We start from the raw sequence: 22,169 nt of genomic DNA, 5'->3' as shown, positions 1-22,169 counted from the left end.
GGCTCTGAGAAGGCAGCCCGCAAGCCCAGTCAGGAGTTCCCCTTGGAGTCCCTACTTTCCATCAAAGGAGTCTAGGAAGATTCCAGCAATGACCACAAAATGTTATTAAATTCCTCAGAGACAACATACCCCAGCCATCCCAGGTTCTGGGGATCACAGCATTTTTCACCCTCCCTTGGAATCAACAAAATCCTACACATACCACACTAAAGGCCAAGTTCTAGAGGACAACCACAAACAAATGTGAAAACTATTGCTGCCTGGCAGCTGACAGAAGGAAATACTTAGCAGAAGACTATGAGAAAAGAAGTGCTTGGCCAAGAGCAGTGGCTCAGCCTGTAATTCCAGCACTTGAGATGCCAAGGCACGCAGGTCCTTTGAGGGCAAGAGTTCAAGACCAGCCTGACCAACATGGTGAAACCCCATCTCTACTAAAAATACAAAAATTAGCCAGGTATGGTGGCATGTGCCTGTAGTCCCAGCTACACAGGAGGCTGGGGCAGAAGAACTGCCTGAATCTGGGAGACGGAGGTTGCAGCGAGCAGAGATCGCACCATTGCACTCCAGCCTGGGCGACAGAGTGAAACTCCGTCTCAAAAAAACAAACAACAACAACAACAAAAACAAGTAAAGAAGTGCTAACACTTGGGCTAGGCTACACTGTGGGAATGAATTCATGAACTGAATGGAATCTGCACATACTTAATCAAACTGTGTATTCTGAATTATGCTCACGAGATGCTAAGATGGAAAAGAACATGAGTGGTAGTGCAGCTGGTTCCTCCCGCTGTGTCAACTCTCTGCAGGTCCTCTGATGTCTGCTAAGCTCCTCCCAAATGTACCCATCATGAGAAAGACTCTGAGCAGGACTTCCACAGCACTAATCTCCCCCCAATGCCACCAGACTCTTAATTCTGCTTTCAGTAGTCCAAATCAGCCACTGCTTCTCACACCCAGTCTCAGGTCACTTCTGATATGACATGTATGTACCCCAGCCTGGTCACCACCCTAATGCTGGTTCTCTGCAGAAGCTCATTTGGTTAAATTCCTCATGTAAACTGAACAAGAGTCCTATTCTGACCTCGGTATTAGCTTTTGATAATTACTAATCCTGTAATTTGTCCTTTTTTTGTTCTATTGCCTCCTTCATAAAGTGTCACGTTCCAGACTGAAACTGGCAGTCTGAATTTCCTGAGAACACAGAATGCCTCATGGAGCATTTTTATGCATTTACCTAGCACTGTAACAGCAGGACTGGCACCCATGAAGTGCTTTACAAAGGTCTGCTGAGGCCGGGTACAGTGGTCATGCCTATAATCCCGGCCATTTGGGAGGCCGAATCAGGAGGATCACCTGAACCTAGGAATTTGAGACCAGCCTGGGCAACATAGAGGCCCCATCTCTACAAAAAAAATTTTGTTTTTGAGACAGGGTCTCGCTCTGTCGCCCAGACTGGAGTGCAGTGGTGCGATCTCAGCTCACCACAACCTCTGCCTCCCAGATTCAAGCTGTCCTCCTACCTCAGCCTCCTGAGGAGCTGGAACTAATGGCACACGCCACCACACCTGGCTAGTTTTTATATTTGTTTTATAGAGATGAGGTCTCCATAAAGCCCAGGCTGGTCTCAAACTCCTGAACTCAAGCAATCTGCTCACCTTTGCCTCCCAAAGTGCTGGGATTGCAGGTGTGAGCTACCGTACCTGGCCCAAAAAATGTTGGAAACTTAGAAAGTGAGGATCACTTGAGACTGAGAGGTCGAGGCTACAGTGAGCTGTGATCGCACCACTGCACTCCAACCTGGGCAACAGAGCAAGACCCAGTCTCAAAAAAAAAAAAAGGGTTTTCTGAACTAAGCTAGATTTGGTCAGTGCTCACTTAAATGTTTTAAATGTTGTTTTTCTTTACATGAAAATACACTGAGTACCTAAGCTTAGTCAGGCACACAGTAGTTAATACATGCTGAACTGGTGAATGTGTGGTGGACATATCCTGTCCTCTCTTTCCCGACTAAGAAATACGAGTGCCTAGGCTGGGCGTGGTGGCTCACACCTGTAATCCCAGCACTCTGAGAGGCCGAGGCAGGTAGATCACCTGAGGTCAGGAGTTGGAGACCAGCCTGACCAACATGGTGAAACCCTGTCTCTACTAAAAATACAAACTTAGCCAGGCGTGGTGGTGCAAACCTGTAATCCCAGCTACTCGGGAAGCTGAGGCGGGAGAATCGCTTGAACCTGGGTGGCGGAGGTTGCGGTGAGCCAAGATCACGCCACTGCACCTCCAGCCTGGGTGACAAGAGCAAAACTACATCTCAAAAAAAAAAAAAAGAAAGAAAAAGAAATACAAGTGCCTTCAACCTTAAATACCATTTTTCATTTTTATGGATTTTTAAAAACTGATTATTTTATTTTCACAGCAACTATAATCTCCATATGCCATGCAAGGAGACAAGGCTTTCAAAGAGATTCAATGATTTGCCTAAGGTCACAAAGACAGATGGGGACTAGACCACTGGTCTCTAACTCCTCCTGCAATCTTGTCCTTCCACTGCGGGGTTTCTGCAGGAGGGACGCCACTATCTCCTCCTCCTCCTCCTCTTCCTCCTGCCTCTGGCTTACCAACAGATAATCTCTACGCTTCCCACCATTCTTTACAATCCAGAAACATTTACATTAGTAGTGTTACACGTAAAAGAGCAGAATGTCAAAGCTTGATGAGACCTCATCATATATAGAATTGGGGACTCTATGAAGACGCCTCTCAGACCAATTTTTTCAGGTTGAACTACACATTACATGTTTCACTCCAAGCCTGAGTGACTAAAATACAAAGCAGTTCCTAAGAAGCTTAAGACAATATAAAAAGGGGTAACTATATTGATTCATCTTAACACAAGACAATATCTATTTTCTAAGATGCAGAACACAGAGAGGAGACAGGCCAAGGGCACGTTTTCAACTGTGTGAATGATGCTGCCCCCTGGCCCTTGCCCTCCCGCCTTGCCTACTACCCTCTGTAGGCCTCAAGACTCATTACCCTTCTTTGGCCCCTATGCTGGTCACCCCCAGGCCACAGCCACTACATTCTGACAGAAAGAATCCTGAAGGCAATGGGGAATGAGAAAGTACGTAGTGCCTAAGGAAGCAAGCCCAAAGGCTCACGAGAGCAATGATTCTGTCCCTTATGCTATCTCACAGGCCAACACACTTTTGGAATTCAAAAGGACAGAATGAGGAACAGGTACCCTTATTCAAAATATATACATAACATTTTACCTTCGTAAGAGACTTCAGACCATGCAGACCAGAGGTCTTGGCCTCAGGAATCACGGTAGAAGCAGAGGCACTCAGGCCTCTGCAATTCCATGCAGCAGCCAGTCATTCCGGGGCATCGACCAGGGGCTGTTTGGGGAAAAACTCTCTCAACCTGTGTTTTTCCCCTGCTCTCACAACCTGACAACAATCGCCAATGCAGAAGAATTGCGTGAACAAAGCTGTTGGCGGTTCAGTCGCCAAGGCTGTCCACCCCCCATCCCCACTTCAGACACTAGTCGCAAGTCCAGGCCTCTAGAACTTCTGACCCACCAGCTTCAAGTTGGGGTTCCCACAAGCCCTCTTTGGATTCGATTAATTTGCCAGAGTGGCTCACAGGACTCAGGGAAATATGTACTTACAGTTACCGGTATATCGTAGAGGATACTGCAGAAGACACAGATGAAGGGACGCAAAGGGCGAGGTATGAGGCCAGGCGGGAGCCTCCATGCCCTCCCTCGGGCCATCCTCAGAAACCTCCACGTGTTCCGCCATTTGGAAGCTCTTGAACGCTGTCCTTGAGTGTTTGTTTGTTTGTTTTTGAGACAGTCTTGCTGTGTCACCCAGGTGGGAATGCAATGGTGCAACTCGGCTCACTGCAACCTCCACCTCCCGGGTTCAAGCAATTCTCCTGCCTCAGCCTCCCAAGTAGCTGGGATTACAGGCACCCGACACCACACCCGGCTAATTTTTGTATTTTTAGTAGAGATGGGGTTTCACCATGTTGACCAGGCTGGTCTCAAACTCCTGACCTCAGGTGATCCGCCCGCCTCAGCCTCCCAAAGTGCTGGGATTACAGGCGTGAGCAACCATGCCCGGCCTGTCCTTGAGTTTTTATGGTGGCTTCATTACACAGGCATGACTTACAATCATCTAGAAATGTTTCTGGACAAAAAACCATGATCTAAACCCAGCAAGGCCTGTCTGTTCGGACTTATCTTGGCCTCTCTGTGCAGCATTCCTGCCTCTAGGGAATGAGGCAGGGCCCTCTCTGGAATAAGGGTCTTCTGACTCACAGTCAGATTAGAGTCCTGCCTTGGGCAGCTGAAAGGAGGCAAGACACCCAACATTACAACAAAAGACTGTAACAAGGGCTATGGGACTTATGAGTCAGAAACAATGGATGAAAACTATGCACACACACACACACACACACATATATACATATCATGCATACATATCATGTATATATGTGTGTGTATATATATAACACCACAGTAGCTCACTCTCCTCATTCATGCCTATGTTGCACAGAAGTTCAGGTGTCTAGGAAAGACTTACTTGGGAACAAAGGGAGGTTATGCTTGGGAAACACAGGATTAGGTGGCTTTCCAGCCAGGGTTGTTGGGGTTCTCCATAGAGGTACAAGCAAGGGGCACTCATGGAACACAGGCAGACATAGCTCTTCCCTCATTAATCCCAAAACACTGGGGCACCACTGGAGCCAAAGACAGAGATTTCCTGTTTCATTATTTAAAACCACTCCCTCACTTCTCTGTGACCTCATCATGTTTGCTCGGCTCAGTGTTGCAACAATCAGCTGAGACAGGCTGGGGAGGCAGGGTTTCTATGTGAGAGCACATCCATACACACCTCTGCACACACTGTCAAATTATACCACACTTTTATATATAAACAGCCAGAACTGTCTCTAGGGGATTTACTAGAATGATCTAGAGTAAAGGAAAGGAACTTTAGGATATATAGGCTTACTTATATTTTCTCAATGAAGCTTTTTTTAAGAACAGAGAGAAATATTAAAACCCCACAATATTATTTAAAATAAAAGGGAAGGTTTCAACAAATTTTTAAAATGAACTAGTAATAGGAAGAAAAAACGTATGGACCCAAAGCTGTACTTGAAAAACTTGACAAACACATGATCAAGGATGGCTGCTGATAAGACATACATTTTATAGAGGTAATTATTTTATGAATAGGTATACTCCAAAAGTTTTTTAGAAATTATTGATTCAGAACACAGAATGTACTCACTGAAAATGAGTAACACACAACAGTTGGCATTTCCATTTTAATCCACAACAGTTTTCAAATGGGTATCTAACATATATTACTGAGAGCACTATGGAATCTAGCCACCATGCGTATACCAGATCAAGGACAGTCACAAATTCTTCGACCCTCCTTTCATCAAGAGTTAGGGTCCATGTCCCCTCTCCTCAAATATAGGAGGACTCTGTGTCTTTTTAGAACATGGCAGGAATAATGCTACACTGATATCCAAGCCCAGGCTTAAGATACTGGCAGCTCCAGACTGGGCACAGTAGCTCACGCCTGTAATCCCAACACTTTGGGAGGCCAAGGTGGGAGGATCGTTTGAACCCAGGAGTTCAAGACCAGCCTGGGCAACGTAGTTAAGACCTTGTCTCTACAAAAAGTTAAAAACTAAGAAATTAGCCATGCAAGGTGGCATGCACCTGTAGTCCCAGCTGCTTGGGAGGCTGGGCTGGGAGGATCACTTCTGCCCAGGCGTTTGAGGCTGCAGTGAGCTATGATGGTACCACTGTACTCAGCCTGGGCAAAAGAGTGAGACTCTATCTCAAAAGAAAAAAAAGAAGAAAGAGAGAGAGAGACTGGCAGCTTCCACTTCCTCTCCTAGAACACTCACTCTAAGAGTTCTGAGTTGTCATGTAAGAAGCACAACCACCTTAGGAGAAAGGCCATCTGCAGAGGACCTGAGAGCACAAGGAGAGGGAGGATCCCCTGAGCCTGGCCTTCCAACCATCCAAGCATGTGTGTACGGCCCTCTTGGACCCTCATGACTGGACCAGCCAACAGATGAATACCAATAAATTACCTCCATCAAGGCCACATGGAGCAGAAGAATCACCCAGCTGAGCCCTGCTTGATCAGCCCACAGAACCATGAGATGTAGTAGTAGATTACTGTTTTAAATCACTGATGTTTAGGGTGGTTTCTTATTCAGCAACCATTATCCGGAACAATCTGTGGCTTTTTCATGAAATGAAGGAAGCACATCTCTTTCCTGTCCTGGCATCAGGAATAGAGTTCCCTTCCCTGATCCTGCACTGGTGGTGTGCTATCAGCCATGATTTTCCCCAGCTGTAAGCCATTAAGTGCAACTCCTATGCTTACAGCTGGCACTACAACATGAATGTGTCTGTGTTGAGAAGAGGGGAAGTACATGGTACAATCATCATCATCCCAGCCAGAGATGTTAGGGTTGTCTGCTTGGAAACCCTCTTAGAATTTTCTCAATTAGGAGAGGGCAGGTTTCAAAATTCTGAAGAAACATGATGCACAGTCAAAATACAACTGGGGGCTGGGAGCAGTGGCTCACACCTGTAATCCCAGCACTTTGGGAGGCTGAGGCAAGAGGATCACTTGAGGCCTGGAGTCGAAGACCAGCCTGGGCAACACAGTGAGACCTCATCTGTACAAAAAAAATGAACAAAACTTGCTGGGTGTGGTGGCAAGTGCCTGTAGTACCAGCTACTCAGGCAGCTGGGTGGGAGGACCACTTGAGCACAGGAGGCCAAGGCTGCAGTGAGCCAAGATCGTACCACTACACTCCAACCTGGGCAACAGAGTAAGACCCTGTCTCAAAAAAAGATTGGTTCCCAGATACCGAAGTCAAAAATATCACAAGGAAAGAAAACTACAGGCAGGGTGCAGTGGCTCATGCCTGTAAATCCCAGCATTTTGGGAGGCCAAGGCAGGTGGATCACATGAGACCACGTGTTCGAGACCAGCCTGGCCAACATGGCAAAACCCTGTCGCTACTAAAAATACAAAAATTAGCCAGGCATGATGGTGCATGCCTGTAATCCCAGCTACTGGGGAGGCTGAGGTTGCAGTGACCCGAGATCGCACCACTGCACTCCAGCCTGGGTGACAAAGGAAGACTTTGTCTCAAAAATGAAAAAAAAAAGAAAACTACAGACTAATATTCCTAATGAACATAGACACAAAAATCTTCAACAAAATAGTAGCAAACTCAATCTAACAACACATTAAAAGGATTATATACCATGACAAAGTGAGATTTATCCCAGGAATGCAAGGGTGATTCAACATACAAAACAAAATCAATACAATACACTACATTACTAGAACAATGAAAAAAATATGATCATCTCAGAAGATGCACAAAAAGCATTTGACAAAACTCAACAACCTTCCATTAAAAAAAAAAAGTCAGTGGCCAGGCACAGTGGTTCACACCTGTAATCCCAGCATTTTGGGAGTCTGAGGCAGGAGGTCTGCTTGAGGCCAGGAGTTTGAGATCAGCCTAGGCAACACAGCAAGACCCCATCACTAAAAAAAAAAAAAAAAAAAAAATCAATTAACTGGGCATATTGGTGCACACCTGTAATCCCAGCTACCTGGGAGGCTAAGGCAGGAGAACTGCTCAAGGTGAGGAATTTGAGACCAACCTGGGCAACACAGCAAGACCCTGTCTCCACAAAAATTAAAAAATTAGCAGGGTGTGGCAGCTTGCACCTATAGTAGTCCCAGCTACCGGGGAGGCTAAAGAAGGAGCACTGCTTGAGCCTGGGAGTTCAAGACTGCAGTGAGCTATGATCACATCACTGTACTCCAGCCTGGGCAAAAGAGTGAGACCTGGTCTGATAAAAAAAAAAAAAAAAAAAAAAAAAAAGTCCAGGCACAGTGGCTCGCACCTGTAATCCCAGCACTTTGGGAGGCCAAGGTGGGCTGACTGCTCAGGAGTTTGGGACTAGCCTGGGCAACATGGCGAAACCCATCTCTACCAAAAATAAAAAATAAAAAAAAACAGCAGGGCATTGTGGCATGTGCCTTTGGTCCCACCTACTCAGGAGGCTGAGGTGAGAGGATCGCTTGAGCCTGGGAGGCAGAGGTTGAAGTCAGCCATGATTGCACTACTGCACTCCAGCATGGGTGACAGAGCAAGACCCTGTGTCAAAAACAAAAAAAAAAAGGAAAGAAAGAAAACACAGCTAACTTCATAATCAATGGTGAAAAGCTTCCCCTAAGATCAGGAACAATATGAGGATGCTCACTTTCATCACTCCTATTCAAAATTTTACTAAATGTCTTAGCCAGAGCAATTAGGCAAGAAAAAGAAATAAAAGGCATTCAAATTAGAAAGAAGAGGTAAATTATATATGCAGGTGACATGATTCTGTATAAAGAAATCCCACAGAACCCACAAAATAACTACTAGAGGTAATAAATTCAACAAGGTTGTAGGGCATAAGACCAACATACAAAAATCAGTTGTTTCTATATACCAGCAATGAGCAATACAAAAAGAAAGGTAAGAAAATAATTTCATTTACAATAGAACCCACAAAAATAAAGCACCCAGAAATAAATTTATCCAAAGAGATGAATGATTTGTACACTAACACTACAAAATATTGCTTAAAGAAATTAAAGGAGACATAATTGAATGAAAAGACATCCCAAGTTCAGCTGGGCGCGGTGGCTCATACCTGTAATCCCAGCACTTTGGGAGGCCGAGGTGGGTGGATCACGAGATCAGGAGATTGAAACCATCCTGGCTAACACAGTTAAACCCCGTCTCTACAAAAAATACAAAAAATTAGCCAGGCATGGTGGCAGGTGCCTGTAGTCCCAGCTACTCGGGAGGCTGAGGCAGGAGAATGGCATGAACCCGGGAGGCGGAGGTTGCAGTGAGCCGAGACTGTGCCACTACACTCCAGCCTGGGGAACAGAGCGAGACTCCCTCTCGAAAAAAAAAAAAAAAAGAAAAGAAAAGACATCTCACGTTCATGGATTGGAGGACAATACTGTTAAGATTGCAACCCCCCAAAGCAATCTACAGAATCAATCCCCTCCCTATTAAAATTCCAATGACCTTTTTTGCAGAAATGAAAAAGGTGATATTCAAATTCATATAAAGTTGCAACTGGCCCCAAATAGTCAAAACAATATAGAAAATGAAAAAGTTGGGAGACTCATACTTCCCAAACTTACTACTTCAAAACTTACTACAAAGCTTCAGTAATCAAAACAGTGTGTGATATGGTTTGGCTGTGTCCCCATCCAAATCTCATATTGAATTGTAGCTCATATAATCCCCACATGTTATGGGAAGGAACCCAGGGGGAGGTAACTGAATCGTGGGGGTGCTGTTCTCATGATAGTAAGTCTCACAAGATCTGATGGTTTTATAAAGCACAGTTCCCCTGCACAGACTCTCTTGCCTGCTGCCATGTGAGACATACCTTTCCTCCTTCTTTGCCTTTCACCATGATTGTGAGGCCTCCCCAGCCATGTGAAACAATGAGTCCATTAAACCTCTTTTTCTTTATAAATTACCCTGTCTCAGGTATGTCTTTATTAGCAGCATGAGAACAGACTAATATAGTGTGGTACTGATGTAACAGACTTACAGAGCAACAGAATAGAACTGAGAGTCCAGAAATAAATGCAAACATCTATGGCCAATTTATTTTTAACAAGGGTGCCAAGACGATTCAATAGGGAAAGAATAGTGTTTTCAATAAATGGTGCTGGGAAAACTAAATAAGAACATACAAAGAATGAATTGGGACTCCTATCTCATTCCATATACAAGAATTAACTGAAATGGATCAAAAACCTAAAGGTAAAAACTAAAACAATAAAACTCAGAAGAGGCTGAGTGCAGTGGCTCACACCTATAATCCCAACACTTTGGGAGGCTGAGGTGGGTGGATCACTTGAGGCCAGGGGTTCTAGACCAGCCTGTGCAACATGGCAAAACCCCATCTCTACTAAAAATACAAAAATTAGCCAGGCATGGTGGCGTGTGCCTGTAGTCCCAGTTACTCAGGAGACTGAGGCATGAGAATTGCTGGAACCCAGGAGGCGGAGATTGCAGTGAGCCAAGATCATGCCACTGCACCACTGCACTCCAGCCTGGGCAACAGAAGGAGACTCGGTCTCAAAAAAAAGAAGAAAAAAAAAAAGTTTAACATTCAGAATATATAAAGAACTCAACAAACATTGTCTTCCCTCCAAAAATACACAAATGGCCAAGAGTCACATGAAAAGACATTCAATATCTTTGCTCATCAAGAAAATACAAACCCAAACCACGAGATACCACTTTAACTAGAATAGCTTTAAACAAAAATATATACATACATATACACATACCACACACACACACACACACACACACACACATATATCCTTTTGTAGTTCATAAGTGTGATTGGGTATTCAAATGAAGGTGTGAGAGGTGCCACTCTGAAACCTTGTTATGACGTCGGCACATTACCCATATGACATGAAAAAGAAACAAAACAAAAAAAATAAATTTAGCAAAGATGTCCTGAAATTGGAACACTGCTGGTGGGAATAAGTTAAACACGATATTACCGTATGACCAGCAATTCCACTCCTAGGTATATACCCAAGTGAAATAAAAACATACCTACACAGAAACTTGTACACAAATGTTTATAGCAGCATTATTCTTAATAGTCAGTGAAAATAATCCAAATGCCCATGAACAAATGAATAGACAGATTGTGGCATGTATGTACATACAATGGATTATGATTCAGCAATAAAAAGGAACAAATACTGGCACATGCTACAATTTGGATGTACCTCAAAAACATCATGCTAAGTGAAAGCAGCCAGATACAAAAAACAAGTTATATGATTCCTAGATGCTATATCTAAAATAGGCAAATCCACAGAGACCAAAAGCAGATTAGAGGTTATCAAGGGATGGGAGGATTGGGGAATGGGAGTGATTACTTAATGGGTAAAGGGGGATGAAAAGTTGTTTTTCTTTTTTAAGAGATAGGTTCTCCATCTGTCCTTCAGGCTGGAGTGCAGTGGTGTGATCATAGGTCACTGCAGCCTCGAATTCCTGGGCTCAAGCGATCCTCCTGCCTCAGCCTCTGGAGTAGGTGGGACTACATACAGGCTCAAGCCACTGTGCCCAGTTTTGTTTTGTTTTGTTTTGTTTTGAGATGGAGTCTTGCTCTGTCTCCCAGACTGGAGTGCAGTGGCGTGATCTCAGCTCACTGCAACTTTTGCCTCCTGGGCTCAAGTGATTCTCCTGCCTCAGCCTCCTGAGTAGCTGGGACTAGAGGCATGCGCCACCACGCCCAGCTAATTTTTCTATTTTTAGTAGAGACGGGGTTTCACCATGTTGGCCAGGATGGTCTTGATCTCTTGACCTCATGATCCGCCCGCCTCAGCCTCCCAAAGTGCTGGGATTACAGGCGTGAGACACCACACCCAACCAAGCTAATTCTTTATTTTTGTTGAGATGGAGTCTTCCTCTGTTGCCCAGGCTGGTCTCAAACTACTGGACTCAAGTGATCCTCCCACCCCAGCCTCCCAAAATGCTGAAATTACAGGTGCGGGCTACCATGCCTGGCCTGATTTTTAAACTAGAGAGAGCTGGTGGTTGCAGAACATTGTGAATACACTAAATACGGCTGAGCTGCACACTTAAAATGCTTAATTGTATGTTATGTGAATTTTGCCTCAATAAAACATTGGGCTATAATATACTGGTTCATTTATGCAAATACTTGAGAACCTACCATATGCCAGGCACACTCCTAGTACACAGGTTAAGGTAATAGAAATACATTCTCTGCAGGCCGGGTGTGGGGGCTCACACCTGTAATCCCAGCACTTTGGGAGGCTGAGGCGGGCAGATCCCTTGAGCACAGGAGTTCGAGACCAGCCTGGTCAACAATGGTGAAACCCTGTCTCTACTAAAAAAATACAAAAATTAGCCAGGTGGGGTGGTGCATACCTGTAATCCCAGCTACTCGGGAGGCTGAGGCATGAGAATGGCTTGAACCTGGGACGCATAGGTTGCAGTGAGCCAAGATCACACCACTGCACTCCAGCCTGGGTGACTGGGAGACTCCATCTCAAAAAAAAAAAAAAGAAAAAGGAAAGGAAAACCATTTTCTGCTATGGAAAAAAAAAAAAAGCAAGGCAAGTGACCACAGCAACAGCATGGGCTGTTTAATTAGGGTGTTCAGAAGACCCCTTTGAAGAGGTAAAATGTGAACAGAGGCCTGAATAAATCGAAGTGTTGTTGTTGTTTTTGTTGTTGTTTGAGACAGTCTCACTGTCACCCAGGCTGCAGTGCAGTAGCGCCATCTCGGCTCACTGCAACCTCCACCTCCCGAATTCAAGCGATTCTCCTGCCTCAGCCTCCCAGGTTGCTGGGACTACAGGCATGTGCCACCACACCCAGCTAATTTTTTTTTTTTTTTTTTGGTTTAGTAGAGATGGGGTTTTACCATGTTGGCCAGGCTGGTCTCGAACTCCTGACCTCAAGTGATTCGCCCACCTCAGCCACCCAAAGTGTTGGGATTACAGGCGTGAGCCACCACGCCCAGCCCAAATTGAAGAATATTATTATTGCTAAATAACAGAAAAAAAAGTGCTAAAATACGAATTTAAATATATAAAAATTCATATGTTAAAATTGCTTTTTAAAAAGGGAGATATCTATAGATGTTCCTTTTGTGCAAATATACTGTGATTTCAGTTTCTAGACATTTTACCCTTTTTATAAATAATTTATTTGCAGTCCAATAATGTCCTTCTACTCCCACCGGTATTTCTTCCAGGGACAGGCCATACTTCCAAGACAGCCTGTCATCCACATTGCTAATAAGTCATTCCCTTTATCAAACCACTCAGGAAAGGAAAGGGGAAGAGAAATGATCACTTCTGAAATATTAGGTTCTTATATTCTCTCACATGCTCTGATTTTTCTTGTTCTTGTTTTGAGACAGGATCTCACTGAGTCACCCAGGCTAAAGTGCGGAAGTATGGTGACACAGTAACACCTCACTGTAGCCTCGACCTCCTGGGCTCAAGCACTCCTCCCGCATCAGCCTCCTGAGTAGTTAGATGGGACTACAGGAGCACGCCACCAGACCCAGCTAATTTTTAAATTTTTTGTAGAGACAAGGTCTTATAACACTATGTTGCCCAGGTTGGTTGAGAACTCCTGGATTCAAGCGATCCCCCCGCCTCATCCTCTCAAAGTGCTGGGACTATAGGTATGAGCCACTGCACCTGGCACAGGCTCGTTTTTTTTTTAGACAGTTTTACTCTTGTTGCCCAGGGTGGAGTGCAATGGCACGATCTTGGCTCACTGCAACCTCTGCCTCCCGGGTTCAAGCAATTATCCTGCTTCAACATCCCAAGTAGCTGGAATTACAGGCATGTGCCACCACGCCCGGCTAATTTTGTATTTTTAGGTGAGATGGGTTTTCACTATGCTGTTCAGGCTGGTCTCGAACTCATGACCTCAGGTGATCCACCCACCTCGGCTTCCCAATGTGCTGGGATTACAAGCATGAACCTCCGCACCCAGCCCAGGCTCACTTTTAAGTCTCACAATTACTTTTTTATTATGGTAAATTACACATAAAATTTATCATTGTAATCATTTTAAGTGTATAGTCCAGTGGTATTAAATACATTCATAATGTTGTGCGACCATCACCACCATCCATCTCCAGAGGGAGAATTTAGGTTTCAGAGGCTTTTCCACGTGACTGTGAACTCTACAGTTACCTTTGCATAGATGAGAAAACTGAGGCTTAGAAAGGAAGAGTAATTTAACAGCATAGTTAGCTGAAGGACAGACCAGAATTCAAAGCAGGTCTAATTCCTTCCATACATAAACTGATCTCCTTTTTACTGTGTACATCATAGACCAGACTGCAGAAATAGAAAGAATGAAGTGAGCCAACCCTTGAGAAGCTTGTCGTCTCAACCCTAGAGACCTATCCCAGATGCACAGAAATATCCTTCAACCTGGAGAAGGCAGGGAAGGCTCTCACGCCACCACCTCCACCCAACAAGGGCCAACTTAGGTCTAAGAACAAAGAAATCTACCCTCTGTCATCCCAAGGACCTGACCTAGTGGCCTCAGTGTCTGGCTGCATTCCGTTATTCACAGCCCTTCCTGGAGCAGGTACAAATGGCCATGAAACAAGCCCCTACATCTCTGCTCAGCCACCACTGACCCCTCCTGGTTGCACGTTCAAAACCTTGACAGTGGTTCTCACAGAAGAGCTAAAGTATTCTCCAAAATAGCCAAACATCATTTCCCTGCTAACAGTGGTAAGGGCTTCCATGCCTTTAACTCATATTTCCACAGGCAATCTGCAGTTATAATTAAATTCAAGATGAATAGGTACTAGCCTGCAACCATTATGCTCTCTGCAGAGTGACCAGGCCTTGGGGACTTGTTCATCACTAACAAGCTAATGTTTGTAAAACCCTGTAAGACACAATGACTAAATACTATCATTATTACTAGACTACCAGTTTAAATGTAAATTAAGAGAGAAAGGAGAAAGAAAACACATTAGCAAATCAGGTTAGGGACTGTTACTCAGCAAGCTGTAAGAAGCATCTGAGCCACTGCGTAAAGAACCTCCCATCCAAATGTGTCAAAGGAGAGTGAATCCGAGGAGGCTGCTGTAAGAAAGGAACTTACGCCAGAGATGGAACGGAGTGCGGCCTAGAGTATCAGCCATATAGGCAAAACAGATGTTGGATGGAAGGGAAAGGCTGCATGAAAAATACACAATTTGTTTAAAAAGCACTCTACAGCAGCAAAACTAAGTCTACTCTGAAAGCAAAACTAAGAAGTTTAGAATCTGAAGAAAATCTAAAACTGCACTGTAATTCAGCTGTGGTGAAACCATGAACTCTGGGGTCCAACAGGCCTGTTGCTCTTCCTTTTCCTCATCTGCAAAATGGGGAGAATTCCTGCCTCAGAAGTTAGGCTGTCACAAAGGCAGCACCCAGAAGTGGCCGGGTGCCTTTTCCTGTACCCTCTCCCCTGAAGGACAGCCACAGGAGAACCCCTTCCGACTCACGGGCCCTCTGCCAGGCGACTCCCTGCCAGCCCAGGCTTCCCCACTCCTGCTGCTAGCTTCCCTAAGAGTTACCTCCTTGGGAAACGCCTCCTCCTAACCCAGGTTGAAACTGCACAGCGCCTCCACAATGCACCAGAGCCTCTGTTCCACTGTTGTGGCACCTACTACATGGTGCCATAATGAAATTATTCTTCTGGCTCATTCATCACATGGAAGCTCCTTGAAAACAGAGATCAGACGGCATCCTATCTGACTTTTTAGCTTTAGCAACGAGCATAGCCCCTAGCACTTAGAAAGTTCTCAAAGAAAGTGTGGGTGATTCAATAATTCTCAATTGACCCTAGCTGGAATCAGAAGCCAAGCATCAGAGGGGCCCAGTACCTCACGCCTGTAATCCCAGCACTTTGGGAGGCCGAGGCGGGCAGATCACCTGAAGTCAGGAGTTCAAGACCAGCCTGGCCAACGTGGTGAAACCCTGTTTCTACTAAAAATACAAAAATTAGCCAGGCGAGGTGGCGGGTGCCTGTAATCCCAGCTACTCAGGAGGCTGGGGCAGGAGAATAGCTTGAACCCAGGGGGCGGAGGTTGCAGTGAGTCGAGATCGTGCCACTGCACTCCAGCCTGGGCAAGAGCAAAACTCCACCTCAAAAAAAAAAAAAAAAAAAAAAAAAAAGGCCAAGCATCTTCCCAGGAGCAAACGTTGGGAACAGGAAAAATGCAGGGAAAAACCTATCCTGCGTGAAGAGCCCTTGCTTTGTCATTATTTGCCTTGGGAGAATTACTTACCTAAACACTGAGAGCCTCAGCTGCCTCCCACATAAAATAAGAGACCTCAACTAGAAAACTTCTGTGGTCCCTAACTAACAAGATCTGATATTTACATTGTAAGATCTTAACATTCTTACTCTGTTACATCTCAATCCCCTAATACTATGAAAATTAACATTTGCACAATGCTTTCCCATCCATCTTACTCATAATAAGCAAGTGATGTCCCTGGTGCTAGTAGCCCCATTTTATAGATAGGGACATCAATTCAGCGGGGCCAAGCAGCCTGCCCAAGGTCATTCTACCACTAAATACAGAGGGCAGACTGGAATTCAGATCCTCAAAGTTGGTACCCTCCACCATGCCACACTTCTCCAGCTGTGGGGTGGACAGCTCCAGGGATACACAGTGGGATTCCAGAAACACAATACATCTTTTGGAGAATCAACAGTTTTGAAAGATTTAGGGAACGAAGTAAGTTTATATTAAAACAATCAGCCACGTTACTGAGTACAATGTAAAATTCACATTAAATTTTAAGATAAAACTTAATGGGCATACCAAACCCCCTCCCACTAAGGGGAAAGTCACACAGAAAAGCCTCTGAAACCTAAACTCTTAATTCACCCTGTAATAAGGTTTCAAATAGCAGGTTTAATTTCCAGCATAAAGTTATAATTTCTGGGAATTACTGGACATGAAAGAGCTCAAGAGAACTAGTTTTCCTGTTCTTCCAGCTTTTAAGTCATTAAAAGCATCCAAGAAAATTACATTGTCAAATAAAACTTTCCATCAAAGAACCCCCATAATGCAACAAATCCTGGAGCTAAGCATTATCAGAACGGGAGGATGGAAGCCTGACCTCCAGGAACACACCGTTAAAGGAGGCAGCTACAAGGCACACCCAAGTGCCGACACACATTCCAAACACATGGAACCACTGTGGGCATCTGGCACATCCCTCCTGTCTCCCCGGCTTGCAGAATCTGGACACAAACACTGACCCAGAGCTTACCATGTGCCTGGCCCTTGGTGGAAGGAGGGAAGGCCTAACGAGCACCTCATTACCTTGTGTACGCAGGCCTCCTAACGGGCATTAACCTTCCAGAACACAAAATTAATCTCAGGAAACCTTCATTACAATTCTCATGACTCCTGGAGATTCACATTTCACCACTTTGATGCTACTGTTGCCTTACAGATTATATTACCCCACTTGGTTAATCAATTTAGCTTTTCTTTCCACTTAAAGAAATCAAGTTTCCAATAAATACGCTTTTGGGTTCTGCCACAGAATCAGTGTTTCAGCTGGAAAGGAAATCAGAATGTCCAAGCAGCAGGTCGCCATATCTTTCTTGGTAGAATGGCCTCATGAGAAGTTACCACCAAATAGCCTCCATTTAATTTTTTTTTTTTTTTAATGCTCGAAATCAGCATGGAACAAATCGTAGTAAAAAAGTAAATTGTGAAATGAAATGTAGGGCCCCCAATTTTTCAGTTCTTGAGAATTAAGGAGACTTAGGTCATTTAAACATGGATGACAGAGGAGTAGGTTGGGGAAAGGACTTTTTTTAAATTTTAGAGCCAAGACAGGGTGCGGTGGCTCACGCCTGTAATCCCAGCACTTTGGGAGGCTGAGATGGGTGGATCACTTGAGGTCAGGAGTTTGAGACCAGCTTGGCCAACAGGGTGAAACCCGCTCTCTACTAAAAATACAAAATTAGCTGGGAATGGGGGCAAGCACCTGTAGTCCCAGCTACTTAGGAGGCTAAGGCAGGAGCATTGCTTGAGCCCAGGAGGCAGAGGCTGCAGTGAGCCAAGATTGCACCACTGCACTCCAGCCTGGGCAACAGAGCAAGACTCCATCTCAAAAAAAACAAATAGGCCGAGTGTGGTGGGACTACACACCTGTAGTCCCAGCACTTTGGGAGGCTGAGGTGGATCACCTGAGGTCAGGAGTTCAAGACCAGTCTGGCCAACATGGCGAAACCCTGTCTCTACTAAAAAATACAAAAATCAGCTGGGAAGGCTGGGCACAGTGGCTCACACCTGTAATCCCAGCACTTTGGGAGGCCGAGGCAGGTGGATCACTTGACGTCTGGAGTTTGAGACCAGCCTGGCCAAGATGGTGAAACCCCATCTCTACTAAAAATACAAAAATTAGCCAGGTATGTTGGCACACACCTGTGGTCCCCAGCTACTCAGGAGGCTGAGGCAGGAGAATCACCTGAATCCAGGAGGTGGAGGTTGCAGTGAGCTGAGATCGCGCCACTGCACTTCAGTCTGGGTGACAGAGTGAGACTCTGTCTCAAAAAAAAAAAAAAAAAATAGCCAAGCGTGGTGGCAGGCGCCTGTAATCCCAGCTACTCGGGAGGCTGAGGTAGGAGACTCATTTGAACCCAGGAGGCGGAGGTTGCAGCAAGCCGAGATCGGGCCACTGCACTCCAGCGTGGGCAACAGAGTGAGCCCCTGTTTCAAATAAAATAAAATAAATAAATAAATTTATTTTAGAGCCAGGGATCTCACTGTGTTACCCAGACTAGAATGATCCTCCCACTTCATCCTCTGGAGTAACTGGGACCACAGGTGCGCATGCCAGGCTAGGAAGGGGCTGTTTAACATTTACACCCCTTCCCCTGCCACTTTGGAGACTTTCAACCTGCAATGAAAAATGGTAGGGACAGCAAAGTGGTGCCACCCAGGTTAGGGCCTGCTGCTCTGTTCCCCTCCACAGACCATGCCCTTCACAGTACAGTATGCATGACCCACATGAGCTCCCAGTCACAAAAGGCCCTGCCTGGCAAGAGCCAAAGGCCAGCACATGCAACTTCCCAACTGGAAACCCAATGACCAGCAGCATGGCCAGCACTGCATCTACTGGCAAGGAGTGACAGGATGGCAAGCCGTCAGATCCCATCTTACCAAAACAAAGTGGGAGGGGGCCCTGTAAGAGGGACCAGATGGCCCCACTATACCAGAGCTTTCCTGACACTGGGCCTCAACTCAACGCCGCTTCCCAGAAGACTTTCTCTTTCCCTTATGGTGGATTCCCACCACGCTTCCAGAATTCTACACAATCCACTAATTCATTTCATCCTACATTTTTACTTTCTGGTTTCTTCCTGGTGGGAGAAAGTATTCTCCCCCGAAGGGTTAGCACCCTGAGGGCAGGATGGTAGATTTGCATTTTTCCTTATCCTTCCTGCCACAAGCTCCTGTCCTGGTCTGTCTCAGTCAAGTATCTGCTGGTTTCTGGCATGTCCCTTCACTGTGCACAGGGGCCAAGATGGCCTATATCCCTGCAAATCACACCCTAGCAGATGGGTGCTGTGTCTCACTCTTCCCAGCACGGTAACCAGAACATTATGAGAACTCAGGGCACATTAACTGAATATTAATTAAATGAGAAAAAGACTCCCAAGTCCCAATTAACAATCCACTTATCTCGAGGAATACAGAATGCAGCATCGATTCCAACCTGATTCCTAAAGTTGATAGAAACCAACAGGCATCAACATTTATGACATCCCACTACCTGCCAGCCTACTCCAAGTCATCTGTACAGGCCGACAATAAGCTTCACCGAAAGAAAAAAAAAAAAGGTATTATGCTTAATAGTAAAAAACTCTGCCTTCTCCCTAGGGTGGTCTGTCTCCCCACCCCCTTTCCTGGAATAGTGTTGTGCAGAACTTAGTCAATAAAGGCTTTCTCAAATGAGAAAGCCATTTTGTATTTTAATTATGAATAATAAATTTTACACAAGCACACATAACATTTTCTCGGTTTTTTTTTTCTTTTCTATTTAAAACTGCATTTTCTTCTATTTCCATTCGCGTCTTTGGGACCCAAAGCCTGCTGCGGTGGTGCAAACCACATGGCACCTATCCCCTGTACCTCTCCCGGGCGTCTGGGCCTCCCTCATTCTGGCTTCATCACTCCTGCTGAAAGCAAGTCTAAGCATCATTTCCACAATCAGGCCTCGGCTGCTTCTCTCTGGTAGCCTTCCAAATCCTCTGGCCTCACCTCCTTCTTTCTCACTCTTCCCACTTTCTCTGTATCTGAAGTCAGTTATTATGACTCTTCCATGCAAAAAAAGAACACCAAGTGATTTTTCTTCCTCCATGAACACTCGCAAAGCAGCAGCAAGGGGTCCTGATTCCATGGAGTGGACCCTAAGGGCCTTGGCCACGAGACGTCGCCTCTGCTAAGTTAACAGTTCTTTAAACTGACCATTGCAAGGAAATTCAGCTATTGCATAATACTTGATAGGTTAGATCACTTGCTGTTTGGAGAGTCTTGCTATATGAAGATGAGAAAATAGAGTTGGGCAAATTTAACGCAATTTCCTTTGTTTGCTTGAGCTAGCTCAGACTTGCAACGCCACAGTGGCAGTTTTATCTTTCTTAAAGTACAGCTTTAACATCATAAAAAAGGATTTTAAGGGAGTGATCAATCATTCTCACCTAACCTGACAATATCATTAGCATACGTATCCTGACAATACCCTAGAAAGGTCCTTCTTGAGTTGCACAGTGAAAAATTAAAGGGATTCTTGCAGGAGTATTTAGAGAATCAGAATCCGCAACGCAGGCTCAGATGTCTCAGTTAAATGAAGGACTTTCTTCAAGGCACAAACAAGAGTAGGGATATTTTGATGGTATTAACAGAAACAACTGGCCACTGTTACTGCCTGTTTCCAGTGAAATGTCTTTACAGCCTCTCACTGAGTGAAGCCATCTTATTAATTCCAAAAGAAGGGACAGCATCCAAGGAAAATAATTGGTCTTCTTTCCCCTCGCAGAGAAATTCACATGAATGTCTCAAAAAAAAAAAAAAAAAAAAAAAAAAAAAGCTGGAATTCTCCCTGGCCAGCTCTCTCTCCTTTCCTGGCTTCTGCATTGACAGCTGGAACAGATGGCGTCTGGGTGAGACACCTTACATCTTAACCCTTATCCATGATAAGGTCTGATTTTCACCAGCGATGCTGGAATCCAAGGTCTGTCAGGGTTTCCGTCATGAGCACCCACTCACAGGATTTCCAGTCCCATGTGATGTTTTCCAGTTTTCATATCGATAAGGCTTATCTTGTTTTGGCCAAAGAATTTTCATCTTTAGACTAATTCTTAACATTTACATTGTCACAACGCGGCGAAAAGGTACACATTTCCTCTCATTTGAGAAAAGAACGCTGTACACTATTTTGCCAGACATCCTACATATGATGCAGTCTGTTCACAGGCCATTTTCAAAGACGTGAGAGACATGAGAAGATCTCAGGACGAACTGATGGTCCACTTGGCCATTCCCTACAGTAAGAATTTTATAGACAAATACAGGGTAACAGCAAACAACATTTCCAAACGCTCCGGCAGTGTGTAGTCGCAGCAAATGCTAGGAAAAAAAATAAATAATGGCTCCTCTTCAGTTGTATGCCGTGAATGTAAATTAAGAAGCCGCTACAACGCTCGACATAACCTTTCTGACGCCACAAAAATGAATGAATTATATCCATACACACACACAGGCACACACACCACGCACCACGCATCACATGTCATTCTGAAAACTGATTCTGAGCTTAATTCGAAAAACGTGAAATACAACTGGTCCCGTCAACAGCTCGTAATCTGAAGGTTTCTTGCATTTCCAAGCACGTCCATAACACCTCATCCGTTTCCAGTTTGTTACTGTTTCCAACCGAAGGGAGAGAATTTTCCACACAGAATTATCTCCTCGGGTCCAAATACTAGACCGAAGTCCCCACACGGGGCTGGCTGGCGGCGTGGAACCGGCCAGCCCGCCGAGAGCCGCCTGGCGCCCGCGGGGAAGACGCAGAGCCCGCGGCCAGGAGCCGCCCGGTGCCCCGGGAGTCGCCGGCCCTCGGCGGCCGCGCGAGGGGGATTCGCGCCCTCTGCCCATACCCGGACCCCCGCGCCGCCCGCCAAGCGGTCGGAGGCGCCTCTGAGGCGGAATGACTCAGGACCAACTTTCCAATAACGCCCGGGCCCCCCCGGCCGGCCCGGGCAGCGCGCTCGGCCACGCAGCCCCTGAGCCGCCCGTCCCCCCGCGTGAAACCCGCGGCCCCGCGGGGTGCCGGGTCCTCAACGCCAGCGGGGGTCACGGCCGTAGCGAGGCCTGCGCGCCCCGTTTCCTGAAAAGGTGCGGGCGCCCCGGCCCCCTCGGGCCCCGAGCCCGGCCTCCGGGACAAAGTTTGCCGAAGTTGAGG

General features: G+C 45.6%; 1 protein-coding gene and 1 non-coding gene across 16 annotated transcripts in view, besides 5 other annotated features; one reads left to right on the top strand and one right to left on the bottom strand.

Annotated features, from left to right (window-relative positions):
* Nucleotides 1–22,169, bottom strand: part of TRAF3 (TNF receptor associated factor 3) — a 134,052-nt gene that overhangs the window by 111,437 nt on the left and 446 nt on the right. Inside the window, exons 1-2 of one of the 15 annotated variants that reach the window (XM_047431738.1) lie at nt 3,671–3,942; nt 3,273–3,398 (exon numbers count right to left, since the gene is read on the bottom strand). The exons of 13 other annotated variants lie outside the window; for them this stretch is intronic. The gene's annotated coding sequence lies outside the window, so the exon portion shown is untranslated. Of the gene's footprint in view, nt 1–3,272; nt 3,960–22,169 lie in introns of those variants that run through there. One more of the 15 variants, XM_017021617.2, reaches the window with a different exon arrangement.
* Nucleotides 1,197–1,246: an enhancer, noted in NCBI's record as "active region_9084". NCBI's record gives its function as "activates an Ori minimal core promoter by ATAC-STARR-seq in GM12878 lymphoblastoid cells {active_cell/tissue: GM12878}" and the evidence as "EXISTENCE:reporter gene assay evidence [ECO:0000049][PMID:35858748]".
* Nucleotides 9,527–9,596: an enhancer, noted in NCBI's record as "active region_9083". NCBI's record gives its function as "activates an Ori minimal core promoter by ATAC-STARR-seq in GM12878 lymphoblastoid cells {active_cell/tissue: GM12878}" and the evidence as "EXISTENCE:reporter gene assay evidence [ECO:0000049][PMID:35858748]".
* LOC124903426 (small nucleolar RNA U13) lies at nt 10,473–10,573 on the top strand. The gene has a single exon (XR_007064409.1). It is a non-coding gene; the product is annotated as a small nucleolar RNA U13 (small nucleolar RNA).
* Nucleotides 16,914–17,066: a silencer, noted in NCBI's record as "fragment chr14:103249335-103249487 (GRCh37/hg19 assembly coordinates)". NCBI's record gives its function as "represses an EF-1alpha promoter that drives an FKBP-Casp9 reporter gene in an ReSE screen in phorbol 12-myristate 13-acetate-treated (for megakaryocytic differentiation) K562 erythroleukemia cells {active_cell/tissue: K562(+PMA)}" and the evidence as "EXISTENCE:reporter gene assay evidence [ECO:0000049][PMID:32094911]".
* Nucleotides 21,773–21,832: a silencer, noted in NCBI's record as "silent region_6131". NCBI's record gives its function as "represses an Ori minimal core promoter by ATAC-STARR-seq in GM12878 lymphoblastoid cells {active_cell/tissue: GM12878}" and the evidence as "EXISTENCE:reporter gene assay evidence [ECO:0000049][PMID:35858748]".
* Nucleotides 22,073–22,122: a silencer, noted in NCBI's record as "silent region_6130". NCBI's record gives its function as "represses an Ori minimal core promoter by ATAC-STARR-seq in GM12878 lymphoblastoid cells {active_cell/tissue: GM12878}" and the evidence as "EXISTENCE:reporter gene assay evidence [ECO:0000049][PMID:35858748]".

Source organism: Homo sapiens, chromosome 14, assembly GCF_000001405.40.
Source record: "Homo sapiens chromosome 14, GRCh38.p14 Primary Assembly".
Lineage (NCBI taxonomy): Eukaryota > Metazoa > Chordata > Mammalia > Primates > Hominidae > Homo > Homo sapiens.
The sequence above is the reverse complement of the archived record's forward strand: the minus strand, read 5'-3'. Positions and strand labels throughout refer to the sequence as shown.